Below are 24,548 nucleotides of genomic sequence, written 5' to 3'. Positions count from 1 at the left end.
ACTAGACTCTATCCTACCAGTTGCAGGAAGAACACAGTCTTCTATATGGATATGCCTTATTGATTTCTTAGTAATTCACCTATCAAGAAGTTTACATCTTTATCTGTCACTTGCATGTGGTCAAGTTTCCCAAACTTTTTTTATTGTCTTCTGGATTTCCTATCTAGCTGAGAAAGTTTTCTTCATTGAAAGAGTAAATAGTCATAAAATGTGACCATGTTTGTTGCCTCCATCTTTTTCACCATTGATCTAATTAAAGTCATCACTCACTTACCTAGAATGCAGCCAGGCCTTGCCCTTTATGCTCCAGCAGCACTGCAGGGCTAAGTAGGAGTTTTCTTTCTTCACCAGGCTATACCTCACCTGGACGACTTTACTCTTGCTGTTTCCCCCTACCTAGAACATTTTTCCCCCTTCTCCTCCTTTCTACCTGGTTCACCCTACATATCCTTAAAGATTCTGCTCAGTGTCATTTCCTCCAGAAAAACTTTCTTCCCCCAAACAATGTTAGTTGTCTATTTTGTGTTCCATAATAACCTGCGTTTAATAATCCATTCCCTGTCTCTCCCATGTGACTGTGAATTCCTTGTCATAGAGAACTGTTCCTTAGTCAGCCCTATATATCTGAATCCTTAACACAGTCCTTAGAACCTATATGAGATCAAAAGATATCTGACATATCAATGAATAAATTAGCAAAATTAAGCATTTACAAACTGCTGTAATAACAGATTGGGCAGAGGTTCAGAATTTTTGGAACAATTGAGAAAGTTACCAGTTTCAAACCCAAAATAAGATTACTTTGAAAACAAATCTCAGCTTCATGTATCTGTGGAACACTTTCCCTTTATCATAATTTTCTTTTGAAATACTGTGCAAGAATTGGAGTTTGAATCCATCAGGACTTTTGTGGATTTCTTATTACATTACTCTGAAAAAATTGCTTTGTACTTTGCACTTACATATGAAAACTGCTTTTTTTCCTCCTTACTAAAATCCCAAAAGCATTTCTAGAAAACCTAGATAAATTTAATTTATCAAGCACACCAAAGGGATTTTAACATATTAAAAGAAAAGCACAGGTGAAGATTTTTGAAGTATGTGCTTTGGTTGAATTATTATTGTTATATTATAAATATAAGTCTCCTTTTACAAAAGAAAGCTCTCTCCCAGAAAGTCAGATTCTTAAATATTCAAAATAACTTTTAAAACTAAAAGAAAAATCATTTCAGTTCACTGACTCTAATTATGACCTACATCAAAATATTTGATCCATAACCTTTCTTCCTGGCCTCTGTACCTATATCTCCAACTCTCTAAGAGATGATTTCACATGAAATGCAAATGTCATAACACTAATAATAGTAATAATAATTATCGACACTTACCTAGGGCAAACACATACCAGAAACTGTTTTTGAGTGATATCTATGTGTGTATATAATATGCACTTATTCATGTATATATATATATATATATATACACATGATATATACATAATACACATACACATATATGCACTCATATCATTTAAACTTCAAAAACCAACCTTATGCAACAGATACCACTATTGTTTTGTCCTTTATTTAATCAAAGATGAAGATAAGACACAGGGTGCTTAAAGATCTTACTTTAGGCCACAAAACTTAAAACTTGCAGAGGTGGGATATGAACCAGGCACTCTGTTTCCAGGGTCTTTGTACTGACTGCTCTCCAACCCCACCCCATACCCTTTAGCCTTTCATCACTGGAAGTGTGTGAATAAGACACAGCTAGAACTGGGTTCAACTCTGGGCTACACTACATTAATCAGGAAGTTTTGCTACTATCAACAAGAATTTGCAACTTAATTAAGTTGTACAGAAGGCAGGAACCTTATCTGTAAAATAAAATTATTAAATTTAATGTTGTTATTGGGAGAATAAAATGAAACAACATGTGTAATTTCCAACACTGTACAAGTGCTTAGTAGGTGGTTAATAAATATTAATTTCTTTCCACCTGGTTGTCTTTCAGATACCTCAAATTTAAAATAACACAAGGTCAAACCCCAGATATTTGCTGCCCCTTCCACATGCCTTAATGTGTGAGAAATTAATGTGCATCCATTAATCCAAATAACATGTACTCAACTATAATCCTTGACTGTTCTTTCTCTCTCCCCCATCGCATCAAATCCATAATCTAATTGGTCTATCAGCTAAGTATTTCTTAAATCTCTCACCTCCGCTGTTCTCCAACCTTCATGAGACCACTGTCTTAATGTGGGCCCTTAGAAACTCTCACCTAAGTTATTATAACAGTTTCCAAGCTGGTAGTCCTGTCTGTGGTCCCTGCACTTTCCAGCTGATCAGTGGATGCCTCAGTTGCTAAATCCCTGAGATACAAATCTGAACCAAGTCACTCTGGTGTTTAATTACCTTCATTGTTTCCACACTGCCAACAGGGTAAAGTCCAAACACCAGCTTAGCAAGTCTGGTTTCATCCTGCCTTAGTAAATTCAGTTCCCATTACTCTGTTCACATTTAAAGCAGCACCAAACATCTAGGTATTCTTATTACATGATGGAATGTGATGTGATGGTTGGTTTCCCAATTTTGCACATGCTCTTTCTCTCAACTTAAAAGACCATTAAATCTTCTGATATCTGATGGTAGATAAATTGATATACAAATGAACTGATAGATAAATTTACCAAACAAGGATTTGTTAACTCCATATATCCAATTGTTCTCCAAATACATTCTTTCATGCTTTGGGTACTATATCCTTCAAGGAGGAGGTGGTGTAAATATATAATCAGACTGAGAATAAAGATGAGATGGTAAGTCCTCATGTTAACAGGTTATCAGAATAGCAATAAAGCACTACACTAACAATCCACAAAGAGACATAAAAAGATGAAAACTTTTTTTTTTTTGAGACGGAGTCTCGCTCTGTCGCCCAGGCTGGAGTGCAGTGGCGCAATCCCGGCTCACTGCAAGCTCCGCCTCCCAGGTTCATGCCATTCTCTTGCCCCAGCCTTCCAAGTAGCTGGGACTACAGGCGCCCACCACCACACCTGGCTAATTTTTTTGTGTTTTTAGTAGAGACGGGGTTTCACCGTGTTAGCCAGGATGGTCTCGATCTCCTGACCTCGTGATCCTCCTGCCTTGGCCTCCCAAAGTGCTGGGATTACAGGCGTGAGCCACCATGCCTGGCCAAAAGATGAAAATTTTTAATGGCATTATAAATCAAAGCTTTGGGAATGCCATATTCTCTTATTTAAACTACGATTTTACTGATGGTGATATTTAGTGGACTTGGGTGAAAGGTCTGGATATATTCCACAAACCTCATCAGAATACAGAAGACCCTAAGACTGTTAGATATAACATTTTGACTAACTCCAGCCATGTACTACTAATCCCAGAATGCAAGTGATACACCAACCATTTAAAAAAGACCTACCTCAACTGCACTGGAATTACGAGCAACTTAACTCTGAACCTTGTCCTCCTCTCAGCCGCTCCCCTGTCAGAGCCTTTATTTACAAAGTCAGACAGAGATTGAAACTCCCAGTATACAATGTGACAGGAAGTGGAACTGCATGGCTGTGCACACTGCATGCAGGACTGTTGAGTTATATACAGAAGAATATTAAAAGGAGAGATAGAAGCACTGATATCATTACTGTGTTTAGTCTTTCATTTTCCTCACTTATAAAGCAGAACAGCTAATGCATATGATCCACTTAACAAGGAAAAGATACCCACAACTGAAGCAGAGAGAAGCCCCCCTAGCAGGCCTCTGTATACAAATGGCCATGGTACTCAACAAATAGAGCTAAGGGTCAAGAACACAAAAGTGTCTTTCAGAGCTAGATGCCAGCACGCAAGTGGACATTAAAATAGGCTAGGAACACTGCAGTCATTACCCATCCACTTGTTGGATAATGAAAAATTTTTATTCAGGAGTGAGTGGAGGGAACAGAAAAATGTCATGTGGTTTCTGAAAAGATACCTAAAATCAAGGAGAAGTAGCCTTTGCTTTGAAGTCTGAGAAGAAAAACATATCACTGAAAATCGTCTTCTTCAAAAGACAGAAGAAAATTTGTGGGGATGTTTAAGAGAGCATGATCTGTATATGACAAAAGGGAATGGCCTGCCATGACAGCAGAGATACAAAAGGATCTGGCTTAAGGTTAAAAATCAAAATATCCCACCAAATCACAGGCAAAATTAATGGAGAACTTGTACACACTCTGGCAATTAAACATATCAATTAAAAAGCAAAAGCATGACTTGGGGTTTTAAACAAAATAAAGCTGGTTTCTTATAAGAAACTTACTAAATCAAACTGATGGGAAAAAATAAATAAATAAAGAATGGCCAGGTGCGGTGGCTCACACCTGTAATCCCAGCACTTTGGGAGGCCGAGGCAGGTGGATTGCGTGAGCTCAGGAGTTTGAGACCAGCCTGGGCAACATGGTGAAATGCTGTCTCTACTAAACTACAACAAATTAGCCAGGCATGATGGCATGCGCCTGTAGTCCCAGCTACTTAGGAGACTGAGGCAGGAGAATTGCTTAAACCCAGGAGGGGAGGTTGCAGTGTGCCGAGATCATGCCACTGCATTCCAACCTGAGCAACAGAGAGAGACTCCGTCTTAAAAAAAAAAAAAATACACATTTTAGATAAAAGAATACCCACAGAAAACTAGAATGGCCATATTACAGTTAGAATAAAAATAATTTATAAAATATTATTTTTCTATAAAGCATGTCCCCTAGCATATGAAGCTTATTTTCTCAAGTAAGTAGAGGAAAGGTATAATATAATAAAAAAAAAAAGTCGCTGATCAGCTTTAAGAACCATACTACAACCCTGGTACGCAGGAGTCCTGCCCCTACCATCACCCAAACATACCATCACCCAAACATACCATCACCCACACAGGCAGAAAAGGAAACCCCAGGCAGAGCTCCTTTCTTTCTGGACTCGCTTCTGAGACAAAATCTCAAATAAATAAATATCCTTTATACAATCAGATGTCACCTGGAGGAGATGGTAGGCAAGGGAAAAAAATAAAGGCACTAATTAAAATATTAGGAAGGAATAATTTTACTGGATTAGACTAATTTAGTGATTCATCTCTACTCAGTGCGTGTGTGAGAGAGAGTTGGTAAGCAGACTGATGTTGGTTCATAAGATTCTTTGGTGTGTAAATTCTATCAAAGGAATCTACATTCTCTTTGCATATTGCAAATTGGAGTGTAGTCCAAGTGACTGGGGCATGTCAACATGGCATAGCAGTTAAAAACATAGATTTTGGACCTAGACTCCCTGCTTTAGAATGTTTCTTAACTTCTCTGTGTCACAGTAACCTTGAATATTAAGTGGCGATTATAATACATATTACATAGGACTGTGGTAAACATTAGGTGGGTATACGTGTGCAAAGTCTTTAATATTTATAGTAGAAATGTTTGTCTAATAAATGATATCCAGGAAAATATTGATATCCAGGAAAATAAATGTATTCTTCAAGACTCTTTGATTTGACTCTGAAAATACTGTAAATTGGATAGGCAAAAGGAAGATTTTGCTCACCTAACAGAGCCACAAGAAGATAAGATACAGAAGCACAAAGAGTGCAAAAAGTATCAGGGTAACTGGAGCTAGCACCACAAAAACTCTCTCTCTTCTCTTCATCTAGTCAGTTTATTCTCCCAAGTCAGCAACTAATGTGATGGTTCCCACTAGGTTCAACTGGCCATGCCAAAACCAGCTGCTATAACAAGGTAGGCAAGATTCATATAAAGATGGATGAATTTCCTCACTTACAAAGCTCTCATTTGCAGTTGCATGGGTAGAAGGGATAAAAATGGCTAACATTTATATAGTCTTTATTTTGTGCATGGCACTCTTCTACTCATTTTACATGTGTTAATTCATGTATTGCTTACAATAAGCCAATTAGATATTATTATTTCCATTGTACAGGAGAGGAAACAGTCCAGAATGACTAAGAGATTTACCCTAAGCCATACACCTTGTTATTGATGAAGCTAACATTTTAAACCTTCCAGTACACATGTCAACCTATTCTTAAAATCTAAGCTCTGGCTCACCCTAGACACCTTGAAATGTATGTTGTAGGAATACTAGAGAAATACAGAAATATTGACAATGGTAATCTCTAGATTACAAGATTGTGGGTGGATTTTTAATTTTTTCTATAATTTCTCTATAGTCCAAGTAACTAAAATGTACCTTATTACTTTTTTAATAATAAATAGTAATATTTATTATTAGTAATAATAATAGTAATAAATAATAAAATAGTAAAGTTTGTTTTCAATAAGGAATTAGTCTCCAGGATTGAAGATGAAGGCGATGTATTTAGCTCTGCTAAAACATAGAATTACCTATTATAGTGAAGAAAAGAAAACAGAGAAATCAAGAGATGACATTATATTGACAGATGACACTCTTTGGAGGAGGTTGTAATCCAGAATGTGGCATGAAGGAAACTTCAGGGAGGAAACGAGCCACTCTGCCCATCAGAGCCTAGAAAATCTCTGAGCTCAGAGTCTCCAGGAGCAATGGAAGAACAGCTAAAAACAAGGGGGATTCCTTCAAAGTCTGCATACATAATATGTACACTAGTCAGCCGCTATCCACTTCTTTTACATTGGAGCCCAGAGGAAAGCTCGACGTTTGCCCTAAAAAAAAAAAAATCATTAGACTCTTCTCCACAAATAATGAAGTAAATTTCCTTAGAGCTAATAATTCTAATATAAGTAATGTTCAAATGTTGGTGCCTGGTTCCATTCGATTTTCCCTAAATAAAATATACATGCTAACATATCTGTGATAACCATTGCAAGAAAAGAAATGAACATAGTCTCTAAACTGATTCAAGATAAAATAGAAATTAGATCGGTCTTACATATATTAGATAAATTGAGTCAATAGCTAAAAATTCTTTCTGCAGTTAGAAGAAAAAATAGAAGACAAGAAAAAGTTTCATCAATACAAATAAAGACAAAAAAAGAAAGAAAAAATATAGTACAAATGGGAAAAACAGAAAGCACAAAATAATAGGATAGAAATGAATCCAAATAGTTAATCACAGTAACTATAAAAGGACTAAAATTTCCAATGAAAGACAGAAGGTTTTTTACTTTTAAAGACTGTTTTTTTTTAAGTACATCCAAAAGCTCTTTTTAAAAGGAAGACTTAAAACATAAGTACAGTGCTCACTTGGACAGCACATATACAAAAACCAGAATTATTAGCATGATTCCTGCATAAAGATGACATGCAAATTAGTGGTGTTGTCTATGTACTGTACAATTAAAGATGTTTAAGAGGATACATCTTTAAAAAAAACACACAAGGACAGGAAAGTTGAATGTAAAAAAGATTGGCATATGTTAATCAAGAGAAAGCTGATACAGAGTTAATACCAAATATAATACACTTTAAGGCAGATAACATTACTAGAAATAAGAAATTCACTCCTTATTTATAAGAGGTTGAATTCACTGGGAAGGTATAATAATTCTAAACTTATATGCACCTAATAGCAGTTTCAAATACAGGCAATCTTCGCTATTTGGGGTTTCCATATTTGCAAATTCTCCCACTCACTGAAATTTATTTCTAACCCCAAAAGCAATAGTCATAGGACTTTTGTGGTCATTTTCAGACATGTACAGAGTAGCAAAACATTTGAGTTGCCCTAAATGCACCTTCCCAGTTGAGGCTGAAGAAAGTGACGTTCTGCTTTCTTGTTTCAGCTCTCACACTGTAACCAGGTGTTCTTTTCACGGTCTATGTAGTTCTGCGTCTTTCACATTTGTGCTTTTTCTTGGTGATTTCACAGTTTAAAACGGCCCCTAAGTGTAATGCTGAAATTCTGTCTAGTTTTCATAAGCAGGCTATAATGTACCTTATAAAGAAAATACTTGTATTAGATAAGCTTTGTTCAAGCATGATTTATGATGCCGTTGGCCATAAATTCTGTGTTAATGAATCAACAATGTATGCTAAATAAAGTACCTTTAAATAAAACCACACACACACACACAAACTTATGTGTTGGTCAGTTGATGGAAATATTCTGACCAGAGACTCACAGGAACCTAACCCTGTATTTCCCCTCAGAATAATGGTTCGACATTCACTATTTCAGTACTCACAGCAACTTTATAAAACAGAACTATTAAAAACAATGAGAATGGACTGTATGTAAAGCAAAAACCAACACAAACGCCCACAAGTATAAACTAATACATCCATTATCAAAAGATTTAATATACATCTTCCAATAACTCATAGATCACACAGACAAAAATAAATTAGTAGGAACATAGAAAATGTGAAAAACAGAACAAAGGAGGTGTTTGTGTGAAAGAGCATACGAATGAAAAACAGGATCTGGCAGAATGCAAGGATAAATTGATTACTCTTGTTTGAAAGGGCAGAGAAATGATGGCGAGTGATTCAGAGGGCAGGTATCAGAGTTGTCCTAACATTTAGAAATAATCTAAGAGGGTGATCTGTGAGAAATAAGAAATAAATAAATATTAATTCAACAGAAATCCAAACTATAGCAGTTGTTACCAAAAAAATGGAAAATAAGAAATAACCATAACATTGTTAGCAAATTATTACTAATTTGCATTATTTGTATAAAATGACAAAAATTTTTAAATGATGAAAATCCAGAACAAACATGTATTGGACATGGGAGATCTGTTTTCTCTTTCTGACAAGATCCTTCATCCCTTTCTCTCATCTTAAAGATTTTACAAAAGAGTTGAGATCCAAGAAGCCGTGTTTTTGAAAAAGACAAGTAGTCCTCTAGCAAGGAAGACTTTCTTAGTGGAAAAAATTGAGCTCATGGCTAAATGTATAATATAATTTCCCTTGATATGTAGTCATAAATTGGTTGCCCACTTGATATCTTCAATATGACATAAATAGTTACAATCCTTCCAGCTGAAATAAAACTTAGATCTAAGCAGCTAAAAATTCAGAACTGACATGGGAAACTAAATATGGACATAGTCCAAGATCTTGCAGCTCTGTTAGCTCCCTTTGAAAAGGACATTATCATTTGTTATTCTAGCATTCTGCTCAATATGCTTTCTTCTGCAGAAGCTGTTATTTCTTTGCTACAGATCAAATATTCTGATTTGTTTCTCCTTACTTCTTTGCACAGAATAAGTAATTGACTTATTATGAAGTAGTACCCTGGTTTTGGAGACAAGTTCCCGGAATAATAAAAATCCAGAATTATTTGCCCAGTTTCAGATTTGAGGATCAGAACCCTGTAGCAATGATATAAGAATCAGAAGCAAGAATACATTTCATCTACATTTGTTCTATTTCCTGCCATTTAGTTTCTAAAATGGAAGCCATTTCTTGCTGGGAAAACAAAGGATCTTTCCATCCTCTAATGGAGAATCATGCAGTCTTAGAGTTGGATATGACTTGAGTAAAGTTCTTCCAACTCATGTGCCACAACACAATGGTGTACTCTGAAAAGGTTAGAGGTGAGTGGAGAGAGCTTTCCAGCCACCAACAGGGAGTGGGATGGGCTGAGCTTCAGCCAATTGTGTCTCACTTTAAATGGCCTATCACAATTAATCACACTGTGAGACACAAATATTTCTTTCTTTTGTGCCATGATTTGGAAAATGTTGGGAACCACTACCTTGGAGATACATAGTCTAACTTACTCAAAAAGAAATGCTTGCTGCAATCATTCTGGCACAGGGCTGGTTGATTTCTATTTGTATGTTTTCCATGACAGATTCCTCAGTACTTTATGAAACAACAACTCTCTTTGAAAGATCTGTCAGAGAAAAAAGTTTAAAAGATCCCCTCCAGTTTCTTTGAATTGATGAAACTTCTGGCATTTGAAGCCACAGTAGATACAACTTTATGTGATAGCTTTGAACCTTGGAATGCAGATATTAAGTCTTTTTTTAGTTATTGCTTCTCCAGGACATACATCTTCAGTTCTCTCAAATGTTTGTAAAATGAGAAGGCTAGGGAAACTTCCACAATGTAGCCACAACCCCACTTACATCAAAATGTTTATTTTTAAAATACAGGGTCTGGAACTGAATACGCAGATGTGGTTGTATCGACCCTTATTAAAATGTGTCTATTAAATCCTCGATTTCTATTTCATCAAAAATATAAAGGGATGTTTACTTTCTTTTCTTAACAACTGAATGGTATTTTTTGTTTGTATTGAATTTGTGGCCAATGAAAAACCTCAGGATATTTTATATGAACTGCTGTTGAGTCACATGTTCTTCATCCTGTATTTACTCATCTTGTTAAACATAAAAACAGCAATTATCTTTCTTTTCTCCTATGTGAAACTTAAGTATGTTGACTTCTCACATAAAAATAAAATTATAATCAATTTGTAATCAATTAATTTTCATTGTTGATAGCTCTTGCAAACATGACTTCTTTATAGGTTTCCAGTCAAATAATTGCAACATAATTGCAAAGCATGTCATACAAGTCAGACAGGACAGGATCTCAGGATACATCACTACAGACCTCCCTTCACCCTGGCACCTAACCACCTAAATGTCACTAAAGTACTTCTTATCTGTAACATTTTCCTTATAGTAAAATTAAAAATAAACACAAAATCATGCCTTATTATTTAAGTAACATTAGCTTATTGTAACAAATCAATCTAAAAACAGCTCATACACATTTAAATTTTATTTCTTCCTCTAAAAAACAAAGGTGTTCCTGATTGACTGGAAGCTTTCCCTAAAGTAATAATTCAAGGACACAAACTCCTTCGGTCTTATGGTTCTGCCATCTTCAATATGTGGCTTACAGGGTTGTCATGCTCCCTGAAACCAAGATGAGAGAAGGTGAAAAAGCCAGTGAAAAAGGCACACCTGCTTCTTTAAAAATCTAGCTGAAAAGTAAAACGTAAAGTAGGCACTTTGGGAGGCCGAGGCGGGCGGATCACGAGGTCAGGAGATCGAGACCATCCTGGCTAAACAAGTGAAACCCCGTCTCTACTAAAAATACAAAAAATTGGCGGGGCGTTGTGGTGGGCGCCTGTAGTCCCAGCTACTCAGGAGACTGAGGCAGGAGAATGGCGTGAACCCGGGAGGCGGAGCTTGCAGTGAGCCGAGATCGCGCCACTGCACTCCAGCCTGAGCGACAAAGCGAGACTCCGTCTCAAAAAAAAAACAAAAAAAAAAAAAAAAAACAAAGTAGGGGAAAGTATTTGCTGGATTGGAAACCACATCTTAGCAACAACTCCACATTATGGACATTATAGAAGGAGACACACAATTTTGAAGGGCTCTACTAGTCTTATTTTAAATAGTCCACCCCTCTGGCCATCTATTTCCCTCACACATAGGACATAGTCAAGCCCTGGCCAAGAGAGATCTTCCAAAATCCCATCAAGAAACTTTTACCAAATCGAAGTTGAGAATGTCCTGGTGAAATACAGCCTTCTTCACCAGGTCCTAATGGCTCCTACACATTAACAGACAAATCAGTTTCTACTTCCACATCCTCCTCCCTTCCCCCGCTTCTCTCTGTCTTTCTCTCAATATATGATAGAGGAGGAGGGATAGGAGGACTATAATTAAAAACTCCCAACTGGAAAAGAAAAGGGAAAACAGTAAAACTCTACAGAAATAGCTAACTCCTGCTGGGTAGGCGTTCTCCTATTTGTCAGTAGAGAATATTCACAGATTAGACTATAAACCTGCTGCCTGGTAAAAAAAAAACTCTCTTGCCCGTCGTTGTCTTTTGTCTCTGGTTCCAGCCCTGAGAAGTTTGTCCTTGTACCTTATCTTCTGTGAATATTGAAGAGTGAGCCAGTTTTGGGGACCTATACAACTTCCAGAAACTCTTTCCTGCTGGTGCAAGTTTGAGGACTGGAAAAGAGTATTATAGTCATAGGCTTTTTCTTGGCCAGTTCATAAGGATTTTAACAATTAGAATCCCTCAAAATCTTAGTAGATTCTAATTTATTTATTTCCAGTTGTTTCCATGTACAAGTAACTAGGACCAATTTTCTTTCTTGAGTATAATTTTCAAGCCTACCTGAATTCTTTACTTCCTTACTCCCGTGCCTTTCTCTTGAAAGTCAGTGGTGTCTGCCTGGAAGCCAACTAATACTTTATTGTTGATTAAGAAGGCAATACCCGTAGTCTGTTCTTTGTCCCAGGGCTGTTTACCTGAAAAATATTAATAACTTCTTATTGTTCAACGCTGTTTTCAGTTTCATTTCTTGCTGTTTGGAATGTAGAAGCTGACAATTTTTCCAACTCTACAAGCCCTAAAGCTTTCAGAATCGTTCTACACCGTTTCATTTCTGCTTTCAAACTGCCAGTTGTTCTTATACTTTTTGTTTTGTTTTAATAATACATTTCCATGTGCTATAAGAAGCAACTAGTACACAATCAGGTGTCTGTACTCCTAGAGTTACAGACCTATAAACAATTGATTAGCTTCCAGGTGATTTGCAGTTTTACCAAATGTTTTGTCACTGCAAAATATAGATTGTCATTTTTCCAGCCTCTAATATGCATTTTCTTGCCCTCTAGTGATTATCAAGCCAATGCCACATATTTTAATTATTTGTTGGAGAAATAACTCTTTTTCAAAGTTCCAATTTTTATATTAATTAAAAGCTAGATGATGTAACAAACAAACCCCCAAATTTTAAGTGGCCCAAACACATTAGAAGTTTATTACTCACTCCTACATAGTCCTAATGCTCCTAATCTGTGGAAGACTCCCCTCCAAATAGTAACTCAGAAAAGTAGGTTGCTTCTACCTATGCCACCACCATCTTCCAAGGTCACCATGTTGATCTGTATTAAGTTAGTGGACGGGAAAGATAAATTCAAGAAGCCACATCTACTTCTTAAAAATTCATTCTAACCATTCTATTTCATGGAGAGCATAAAAATGCTTGTATAAAGGGCTTGGTTATTGCTGGTTCTGCAGCCACTGACTGGTGTCCGCTAGCCTTCTCTGACTCAACATCAATCAGAAGTGCTAGAGGAAAATAAATTCAAATCTTTGAATTATCTTGGGAAAATATGCATAGGGCATTCATTCCAAATTAGCATATACCCCACAACCCCCTATTCTTTACTCTGAAATTTTCATTAGATCAATAACATGCCAAATGAGTAAGAACAAATTATTTGCAAAGAAATTGAAAATTGATGTCTTTATTATGATAAACATAAAATTCAGGAACAACAACAATACTCGGTGGTACTTGGTAGCAGAAATTGGACTAAACAAAATAGAACTGGTAAAAATAAGAAAACAAACAATAACACTATGAGAACTACGAGACATCATTAATACTAAACCACAATCTGTGAAAAGAGGAGATAAATAAAAGAATTATAGCTGAGTTTGAAATGAGATATTACCACCTACCCACTAGAATGAATAAAATTTTATCCATCAATCCATCAATCCATCAATCTGACAATGCTAACTGTTAAGATATGGAACAACAGGAACTCTCACTCCCTGCTAGTTGAAATAAAAGTAGAAAAACCACTTTGGAAAACTTACAGAATCTATTATACAAACTCTGACCACGTGCATTCATATTGTTTAACAAGTCCACTCTAATTATATACTCAACCAAAATGTGTACAGATATGCAGCAACAGATACATACAGATATTAATACATATTAGAATGCTCATAGCGGCATTATCATCAATAGCTAAAACTTGGAAAAAGCCCAATTGTCCATCAACAGGAGAACATTTTTCAGTGTGTTTTCAAACAATGGGGCACCATATAACAATGATGAGGAGCACACTACTATAATATACCATCACACAGATGAATACCACAGGCATAATACAGAGTGTAAAAAGTCAAAGACAAAAATACAAACTGAATTATTTGATCTCATAAAGTACATAGAGAGGCAAATCTAATATGTGGTATTAAAGTCAGAATAGTGGTTACCTTTTGCCAGAGCTGGGACAGGGGCTCAGTGCGTAAGTACTGGGAGCACCTATGAGAAAGTTTCCTGAGATGCAAGTAATGTTTTATATTTTCATTTAGGTGCATATGCTGGTACATTCATTCAGTAAGAATAAGTTTACTATACCATTAAAATTTATGCATTTTCATGGAAATGTATCAATGTTTTCATCACTAAATTTTCCTTTTATTATTGCTTTATGGACAACATAATCTGAAAGAATTTGTCTGCTTACAAAACTATATTTATTAATGTTTAGCCCTATCTTTTCTTACACTTATTCAGATTTTAACCCTACATTCTGTATTTGTGATTTCATAATATTTTTATGATTTAACAAGTTAGTTGTAATACTAAGAAGTAATAAATAAGTTGACAGACACTTAGCATTTTTCAGTGCTACCAGTAGCTCATTTTTACTGTCACTTAGCGTTTGTATCCAAGGTTTATCACACATAGGACATGTTCAGTTCATTACAGTGACCATTTCATGGGGTTCTAGTCACAGTGTTTAATCTCCTAACTTGTTCTAATAATTTCTGTGATATCATCAGAAGCCAATCATTACCTATTACTTTCAAAATGTGCTGCTTTACTTCTAGCCCACAGAAAAGAAAACATATTTTGTTAGCCAGACCATCTAATTCAGGGAATTAAGCAATTTCAAGAAGATTATTAAAATATTAAAAACACCCTAGAATTTTACATCCACATTCATAGACCCTTAAAAATCTAGGAACCAACAGCATATTATTTCTACCGCAGGTTCAGATGAAGTAGCAGGGAGTCTATTTCTTAACTTTTAATAAATTGTTGTTGTTTGACAATTTGAAAGGGCTATTTAAAAAGATCTACAACAGTAATATTTTAAAGGCTTTATATTTGAATTGAGAATCTAATCTGTCTATTTATTTCTTTTCTCAAATCTTCTCTTTGAAATTCAGTCTCTGCTCTCTATAAACCTTTACTGACTTTGAAAGTGAACAGGATATCTTTCTGGGTTTAAATATTTTTCAAGCTATTGCATGAATTTTAACTAAGATTTTTGTTTTTCATTTTGGCTGGCAGATGGTGTTCAATCTACTCTGTCAGGTAATTTGATAGGTCCTGGGTATATAGCAATGATGGAGACACAGCCTTTGTTCTAAAAAAACTCAGTTATGCAGAGAAAAAATTGTAAGTAAGTAAAATAAACTGAGCTAGGCACCAACAGCAATGAGTGCACTGAAAGAAACAAGAATCAATTCAACCTGGCAAATCAAGAAACTTTTAGAAAATTACCATCAGGAACTTGAAGTGTCTGTAATAATAACTTATATCTGCATAGCACTTATTATTTTCAAGTACTTCATATGTATTTCATTTTTCTTAAGAAAAAAATTCCTATGAGTTTTATATTGTCATTATTCTTATTATACTAAGTAACTTGACAAGGCTATCCAAACATGAAATAGTCACGTTAAGGTACAAATCTCGGAAGGGGCAGTAAGGGTTAGAAGGCAGATTGAGGCTTTGTAATCTGAGTAACTTATCTTTGAAACACTGCTTTGCCATTTCTGTGTGAGAAAATTATTTGTACTTGTGAGCTTTCTTAATCTCTAACATAATATTATCTTTGCATCAGGATTACTGTGCACTTTATATGAGACAACAAACGTATGTGAAGTGTTTAGCACTGTGTTTAGGAGAATGGGCTTTCAATTAATTGGTGCTTTGTATTTTGATCCTAAACCAGGGGATGGGATGAGGACATGATAAATCAATGTTTTAGAAATGTAATTAGGTCAGCAATGTGCAGGATGGGCTGAAATATCAAGAAGCACAAGAAATGTAAAAGAGGAGTGTTTTGTAATAGTCTAGCCTTAAGAAGATGAACGTTTGAACTAAAGCAATAGCAGTTGGGATAGACAAGAAGAAGGGATGATGAGAAACATTCAAAGGTAGAATTGCCTTGAAAATTGGTTGACTGTCAGGAGTAGAGAGGAGGGAAAGAATTACCTAACTATAATTTGGGAAACTGGTATATTGTGCTGCCAGGAACTGGGATAGAAATACAAGTTGATGAGATACTTTGAAAGTGGACATTCAATACTGTTTTAGACATTGATTTAGGGATACATGCAAGAAGAGATGCCTGAGCAGGCAGTTGGAGACGTAGGTCTGGAGCTCAAGAAAGATTTGAGAGTCAAGTCATAGATGCGAGTTGAAGACATGCTAGAAAATGTGATCAAACAGGGAGAACATATAGGCCAGGTACAATAAATATAAAGACCAAAAACCTGAAGAATAATAACACTTAAGAATCAAGAAATGAGGTGGGGTGAGAGGAATCCAAGAAAGCCCAAATACGACTAGTCAGATATTTAAAAGAAAATAAGGAAAGTGACATGACATAGAAACCAAAAGAAGAGGGATTTAAGAGGGAAGTCAACCAAAAAATTACCAAAGAGAAGATTAAAACCATAAGCACTAGTATCAGATCAGCAGTAACGCTTTGACAGCTTTAGTGGATTGGATGAAAAAAGAATTTATTGACGAAAAAAGAGGTTGGGAATCTACAGAAAATAATGAGCATGAGCAAAGACACAGACAGATACAGGAAATAGTTTAAGTTGTGTTTGGTGAGCATTGAGTTAACAGGACCATGAGTTAACAGGACAAACTCGGCCTTATCTCGTTTTCCTTCAGAGTAGAAAAAAAGCACCTCCTTTGCGCGGACACAACTCTGAAAGTGTGTAGCTAGGCCAGAGCGCACGCTGAGTTTCAGTCCCCTTACCCTTCTGCCTTTGTGCAGTTCACTACTGCACAGCCACTTACAGCAGCCATAAGTCAACAGTCCTATGGAGTTGAAATGCAGGGTACTGGAAGGGTATCACCAGAGCATAAATATGAAAAGATATCTTATAGATCACAGTGTGCAGAGGATTGAAAGCTGGTTGAGACTATTGTGTTCCATTTAGGAGACGATGGGGAATCATCCATGTCTGTGAAGTTCACTTATGGAAGATGAGCCTGGCAGCAAAATGCAGATAGTGGGAGGAGGAAAACATAGGTGGTAGGAAAACTACTAAGAAAATGACTTCAACTGGATATCTAAATGCACAGCCTTGTGTTCCCTTTGATCTGATTTGAGATGTTTTAAATGAAGTCTAGAAAAAAAAACATAAGGTCAGAAAAAGCAGTATTTATCCATGGAGCTTTGATTTCCAAAATGTAAAAAGAATTAGCTCCTCCAGGAGCAAATTAGGCAGATACAGAGAAAGGCAATCTCTGTACACCTTGGCAACACGATTTAGTGCCCTGCTTCCTACCTCTCCAAGGAACTACAGTGCTTTGAAGTACTATTTGTGGCCTTTCCCTAAGGTCTTCCTTATATTTCCTGCTACTAGGAGAAAAGTTGAGTCCTAGAAGGCCAGGATTTTAAAAACCAAAAAGTTCAGTCAAAACAATTCACATGGTGTCACTTGGATTGCCTCTCTTGCTCATTCCTGTAGCTCATAAAATGACTGTTGACCTGTAATTACTTACTGGGTTTAATGAGTTAGTTAGCCTTGTTTGATCAATCCAAAAAGGCAAGATAAAGTAGAAAGAAAGAGAAGAGGAATTAGATTAATAGGAAAAAAAGGGAGAGAAAGCCATCTTAGAATAATTTAAAACTTACTGAGTATCTGTTGTGCACTTTTGCTCCTTTTGAACAACATAAGACACATTTTATAATTCTGATAACAACTCTGCTATTGCTATCAGCATTTTACAGATAAAAAATCTGAAAATTCGTAATGTGAACTGCTCCATTATAATAATGGCAACTGGTTGAAAATATGCAAAGTTATTGATAAGAAAACAAGTATTAGCATAATATGTCTACTAAATAACAGTTAAAATGAAATACACTAATGAGTCTGGAGGTATAAATCTTGACATATATGATTGAGTAGAAAAAGTAAGTTTCAAAAGAGTATGTACAAAGTGAAAACATATAGGTAATATTTTAATTAAAAAAATATATAATTGTCATACATTTTCAGCCAAGATGGAATAACAGAGATCAAATTTACCCCTCACCCTCCCTCCTTAAACAATTGAAAAAACAAGCAAACAAAAACAAAAAAACAAATGAGGTGAGCCCCATCTTATTGGCCTTGAAAGAGATTTTAAACTATGACAGGGAAGGAACTGAGGGTGAAACCTGGCAGACTCCATGAGGTGAAGAGACAGAGCTGAGATTCCTGGAGAATTAAGACAGCTAGTGTTCAAAGAAAAAGTTAACCAAGGAAGATACAGCTGTACAGAGAAACGCCCCTACTCCTCTGTAGAGGGCCACATTCCACCTTCACATCCCACCCTTATTGGCATTCAGCAGTAGATCAGTAGATCACTAGATCAAAGCAAGTGTGTGAGAAAATTGTCCAAGGCTAGAAAACACTGTCCAAAATAATTAGAATAAGTAGGGTCCAACATTCACATAGGGCCAAGAAATGTTTGTGTTCTGACCAACCAGACTGCAAAACCTCTGATTTCACAGGACACTGGGTAGAGTGCCCAGGAAGGTAGTGCCTCAATAGCTGAAAATTAATTATAGACTAAACAGTGCTCCTAAGCTACTGACAAATTATTTTTATAATGCACCAGTTCCAAAAAGATCAAACCATTTCCAAGTAGTTAAAAACAAATTGTAAAAGATTTATAGAAGTACAAAATTATCCAGCACCAAACAAGGTGAAATTCACAATATCTAGCTTTTAATTAGAGTACCAGGCATGTAAAAAATTTAGGAAAGCATAAGCCATAATAAGGAGAATAATGAATTAGGTGAAATTGACCCAGAATTGACATAGACATTAGAATTAGCAAACAAAGACATTGAAACCCTCATGATAATGACATTCCATATGTCCAAAAAGTTAAAAGAAGTTAAAAGAAGACGTAGCAGATGCTAAAAAAAGAATTCAATTGAGTTTCTAAAAATGCAAATGACCATGCTGGAAATTTAAAGTATATTAGCCAGGATTAGTGGTAGATTAGACATTGTGAAATAAAAGATTGGGGAACTTGAAGGTATATAAATATAGACATCCAAAATGAAACATACAGAGAAAAATACATTTTTAAAAATACATTTTTAAAAATACAAAGAGCATCACAAAGCTATAGAACAATTTCATTTGAAGTCCTCAAAGGATGGGATTGGAGAACCAAAATAATATTTGAATAAATAATGACCAAAATATTTACGAACTTGATGGAGATGGAATTTTTTTTTTTGAGACAAGAGTCTCAGTATGTCTCTCAAGCTGGGGTTCAGTGGCACAATCTTGGCTCACTGCAACCTCCACCTCCCAGGTTCAAGCGATTCTCCTACCTCAGCCTCCCAAGTAGCTGGAATTACAGGTGTCCACCACCACACCTGGCTAAGTTTTGTATTTTTAGTAGAGATGGGATCTCACCATGTTGGCCAAGCTGGTCTCAAACTCCTGACCTCAAATGATCCACCCACCTTAGCCTCCCAAAGTGCTGGGATTACAGGCATGAGCCGCCCTGCCAGGCCTGATGGAAAATGTTGATCCACATATTCAAGAATCTCAATGAAACTCAAATCAAGAAACATGAATAAAACAATACCAATGTATAGCTTAATCAAAATTGCTTAAAAGCAGTGATAGAGAGAAAATCATAAAAGCACCGGAGAAAAAGACATGTTATGCAGAAAGAAACAAACCTAGGAATCATATCAGATTTCTTATTGGAAATAATGCAAGTAAGAAGACAGTGGAGCAGTATATTTTAAGTATTGGGAAAGGGGACACTGTAAATCTAGAATTCTATACCCAATGAATATGCCTAGCAGAAAATAAAGACAAAGTAAAGTGTTTTTAGACATACAAAAGATGAAAGAACTCATCACCAGGCAACCTGCACTACAAGACATGTTAAAGGAGATACTTCAGGCAAAATAAATAAATAAATAAATAAATATCATTCATGATTTCATATTTCATGAAAAAACAAAAACATATTGATTAAGAATATAAAATCTGGAGACAACTCCATCATTTCCTAACTGTGATTTTGGGCAAGAAACATTTTGGGCTTCAGTTTTCTCATAACTAATTTGGGAATAATGACAGTATCTACCTCAGAGGATCATTGTGAAGACTAAATTGTGTGTGGGGTGTGTGTGTGTGTGTGTGTGTGTGTGTGCCATCAGAATAATGACAACTGACTGGTATAATAAAAGTACTATAAATGTTGGCTATTATTTATGATTACATATATCTGTAATAAAAATATAAAAAGACGAGTGAGAAGAATACACACAGATTTAAAAAAAAAAAAGACAAAGGAAAAGAGAAAAAAACAGCTGGAGGTATATATCCCAATGACTGAGTATGTGATGACTGGAGGAATGGAGCAGTGCTTACCTTCTCCACCTCATGGAAAAAAGAGAAGAATTCTGGCAAGAAAAAGAGAGATGCCCTTTCCATTTCAGCTACTTGCAACAAAGAGGCTAAAGAAAGAATCCAATCAATGGATGGATGTGCTTAACGTTTCAATCATTTTGGAAATCCAATCACCAGGGACTATTGGCTAGTGAGGATGAACATTTCTCCTCTTTGGGGTGGCTGGGCATAAAATCAAACTTTGAGCATCATTTAGAAGCTTCTATAGTTTGAATGTGTCCCCCAAATTCATGCATTGGAAGCTTAATCCCTAAAGCCAACAGTGTAGACAGGTTTCTTTAAAAGGTGATTCATTCATGAGGGCTGGGTTTACCTGGGTTTCTAGTAAAAGACTGAATTCATCCCCCTTCCCTCACCCAATCCCCCCACAACATTGTGCGAGCTCTCTTGTTTTCTGTCTTCCACCATGGGATGACACGTGAGAAAGCCCTCACCAGATCTGGGTTTCTCAACCTTAGACTTTCCAGCCTCCAGAACTGTAAGAAATAAACCTCTTTTCTTTATAAATTCCTCAACCCCAGGTATTTGGTATAGTAGCACAAAATGGAGCAAGAGAGAAGCTTAAACTCAAACTACAGTGAGGTAGAAAGTTCCTAATTCTCAAGCAAATGAGTGAGCTTCAGAGTCCCAAGATTCCTTTGAAATTGTATACAAAGAAAGAATATATAGAATTATGGGAGGTGTGTGTGTGTGTGTGTGTGTATTTAGTGAGAGATTGCATAGTCTTCCTCAGAGTGGCAAAGTGAAGACCTTAACCCCAAAAACAATACAAATGATTGAGCCAAGAGAAAGCTGATTCAAACCAGGAACCGCATTAGTTAGCTTGTTGGATTCTAAAAACTAAGTCTATGCTTTAAAGGCTCATGGGATTTTTTATTACATACATTAAGCCAACTAAAATGCATTGAAAATTGAAGTAGACACGGGAATGTAATTTATTAATTATGAGAAACATAATTGCTGTAAGACCTGAATTTTAGAGAATGTATCTAAAGCATTCTTTCTCTTATAATCCAACTTTTAAAAAAGGCTGTGATAATCCTAAATTTACATGGTCTAAATTAGTACTAAAAGTATTTAGACAGTCTTATTAAAAATACCCAAATAAGATAGTCTGGGAGTCTTTGCCACTTTCTGGATAAGCCTGGCAATGGGAACAGAATTTGTGAAATATTTTTACCACAGGGACACTCTCTTTTAGCTAAGCGTAACTGGATTCTTCCTGTCTGGTTTCTTTTTTTTTTAAATGCTGCCAGACTGTCTTCTATCACTACCTTTTTTTCTTTATACCTGCTAATAATATTGTTTATGCTACTGCTGTAAGTTGCCAATATAGTTTGGGAAGGAAAAAGAAAACAACTTGTGGTTTTATAATACAACTTTAAAAGAACAGCACTATTCCTTTTACTCAAGGTCTAAGGGAATTATTTTGTAAATTTAAGCACTAATCCTAACAATAACTTTATTAGCAAAACAAAAATTTTCCCAATGGTTACCACTGAGTGTTTTAATTGTGCATAATACTTATTGATTGAGTCCTCCACAATCTGATCCATTTGAGGTCCCACCTTCCTCCCTTCATGTTAACCTCTTACACCACCACCACCACCCTCTGCCATGGGGAAAGAGAAACTAGGGGTGCAACACACGCATGCACACACACATTTAATAGGTTCAAGTTTATGGTCTGTGAGGTTAAGATTGTGATTGCCTTACTAATTACCCCTGGGACTATATACCTACAAAATACAAGCAGCAAATTTTAACACTAATTCACGTTGATCTTAAGAAAAAAAAATTCTAATCTACATGAAATATGAATGTTGTTCAGTGTGAAGATGCCAATTTCTACTGCAATGATAATTTGAACATACTAATTATGATAAATCTCTTTTAAGAAAGAAAAACCTTAACTGTTGAAAACCATTCAATGAGCTGTTTCTCTAGATGTGCTTATTAAAAGAAGATTCTGGATATTTTTCTACCAAAAAAATTATTTAAAAGCTCTTCAAATATTAAATATTTCTTACAGATGCTCATTAAGTGCAGAGTGGTAGAACCATTTTAGTTATTTTTTACTGTTTCTCTCTCCCTCTACTAGGATGGTGAAGATGTATGAATAGGACTTCTGAGACATTTCTTAATTGTTTTGGGAGAAATGAATTAGAAGCAGGAGGAAGGTAGTAAAGTATTAACCCAATCATAGTACTGCCATGCCTTTAAACTCTGTACTAGTACAATTATGGCTTATCTAGTACTCATCTCCGAGGAGTCAGAAACTCTTCCAATAACAAAAATGACTCCAAGACAGGCATAGTGTCCATAATGTTTACATTGCATTAAAATGAAAAATACTGAACTTGAAGAAAACGAGAGCTAGAAAAAAAAGACACAAAACAAGTAACTATCACAGCCTACCCAAAGAGAGAGAAACAGAGAGAGACAGAGACAGAGAGAAAGACAGAAACAGAGAGAAAGACAAAGAGACAAAGAGAGATGTATTTAATATATGCCTAAGATTTTCAAATGCAGTAAATTATAACATAAATTAAAATGAAAATTGGTCTGGAGGATAAAAATAGGGATAAATAGCTCAGATAATCCCCCTGTCTACACTTACCAACATCCCACCATCTGCATCATCATCCCTTTATTAGGATAAAAATGCTTCCAGTTGTTTAGGGTAGTGATATGGTTTGGCTGTGTCCTCACCCAAATCCCATCTTGAATTCCCACATGTTGTGGGAGGGACTGGGTGGGCAATAATTGAATTATGGGGGCAGTTTCTCCCATACTGTTCTCTTGGGAGTGAAAAAGTCGCACAAGATCTGATGGTTTGAATAAGGGGAAACCCGTTTCACTTGACTCTCATTCTCTCTCTTGACACGACCATGGAAGAAGTGCCTTTGGGTTTCTACCATGATGGTGAGGCCTCCCTAGCCACATGGAACTGTAAGTGCATTAAACTTCTTCCTTTTGTAAATTGCTTAGTCTTGGGTATGTCTTTATCAGCAGTGTGAAAATGGACTAATACAGGCAGACAGCAAAACATGGAATTAAACTCTACTGCAGATCTGTAACTAACTGGTGATAGTTAATCAAACATATATCTATTGAGCATTTTCTGTAGGCGAGGACTCTCTGGGAGCCAAAGCTGTACAGTCAGCATCCCTGTTCTAGGAAAAGTTACAGTGTATTTATTTAACAAATATTTGTGAATGCCCTCATCATGTCATCATGTCATCATGGCAGCATAAACAAGGTACTTAGAGACATAATGGCAACAAGATAGACATTGCCTCTGATCCCATGGAGACTACATTCTGATCCAGAAGATAGGCACTAAGCAATTTATTACACAATTATTCATTACAACTCTGATGAGACTTAACAGCATGCATACTGACTGCCATGACCTAATTTAGAGAATCAAAGCTTTTGCTCTTAATTATAATCTAAGCTTTAGAGCTACCCTGTCCTCAAACAATTTCAAATCCAAGCTCCACTTCCAGCTTTGGAATCTCGAATAAGTCACTTAATTTTAATAAACTATCCGTGCCTCAGTTTTTTAACTGGCAAAATAAAAATAATAAAACTTTTTATGTAGGTTTATGGTAAGATTTAAATAGGCTAACATATTTAAAGTGCTTAGGACAGTGAGTGGCACAAAATGAAGCTCAGAAAAATGCTAGCTGTAATTGCATTTATTAAAAGATGTGGAGAAAGAAAGATAAGAAAAGTAAGAAGAGGGAAGAGCATGTGCAAAGGTCCTGAGAAAGGAAACAGTACATTTGAGGAAACTGAAAAGAAAAATAATGAAAGATTGGCCTGGAGAGGTAGGCAGTGCCCACATCTAAAAAGGCCTTGCAAGCCCTGAAGGGTTTTAGACATTAATGCAATTGGATGTTATTAAGAGTTTTAATTGTGAAAATTACATGGTTATATTTTTACTTTAAGTAAAACAATTTCCAGTGCAGATAATGTAGAATAGAAGCAAAAATGGAAGAAGGAATTTAAGGGGCTATATCTGCCATATCAGTAAAAGGCAATGGTGGCTTAACT

At 35.9% G+C, this 24,548-nt stretch overlaps 1 long non-coding RNA gene and 1 pseudogene across 7 annotated transcripts in view; one reads left to right on the top strand and one right to left on the bottom strand.

Moving 5' to 3' along the window:
* The window catches only part of LINC01709 (long intergenic non-protein coding RNA 1709), a 147,996-nt gene that overhangs the window by 51,593 nt on the left and 71,855 nt on the right, over positions 1-24,548 (bottom strand). For 4 of the 7 annotated variants that reach the window (NR_183474.1, NR_183476.1, NR_183473.1 and 1 more), the window contains one exon: positions 12,102-12,235. This is a non-coding gene — a long non-coding RNA (long intergenic non-protein coding RNA 1709). Of the gene's footprint in view, positions 1-6,440; positions 6,707-12,101; positions 12,236-24,548 lie in introns of those variants that run through there. The other 3 variants (NR_183470.1, NR_183471.1, NR_183472.1) reach the window with 1 other exon arrangement.
* On the top strand, positions 7,240-7,335 carry RNU6-965P (RNA, U6 small nuclear 965, pseudogene; annotated as a pseudogene).

This window comes from Homo sapiens, chromosome 1 (assembly GCF_000001405.40).
Source record: "Homo sapiens chromosome 1, GRCh38.p14 Primary Assembly".
Taxonomy (NCBI): Eukaryota; Metazoa; Chordata; class Mammalia; order Primates; family Hominidae; genus Homo; species Homo sapiens.
Note: the sequence above shows the minus strand (reverse complement) of the source record. Positions and strands in the feature narration are given on the sequence as shown.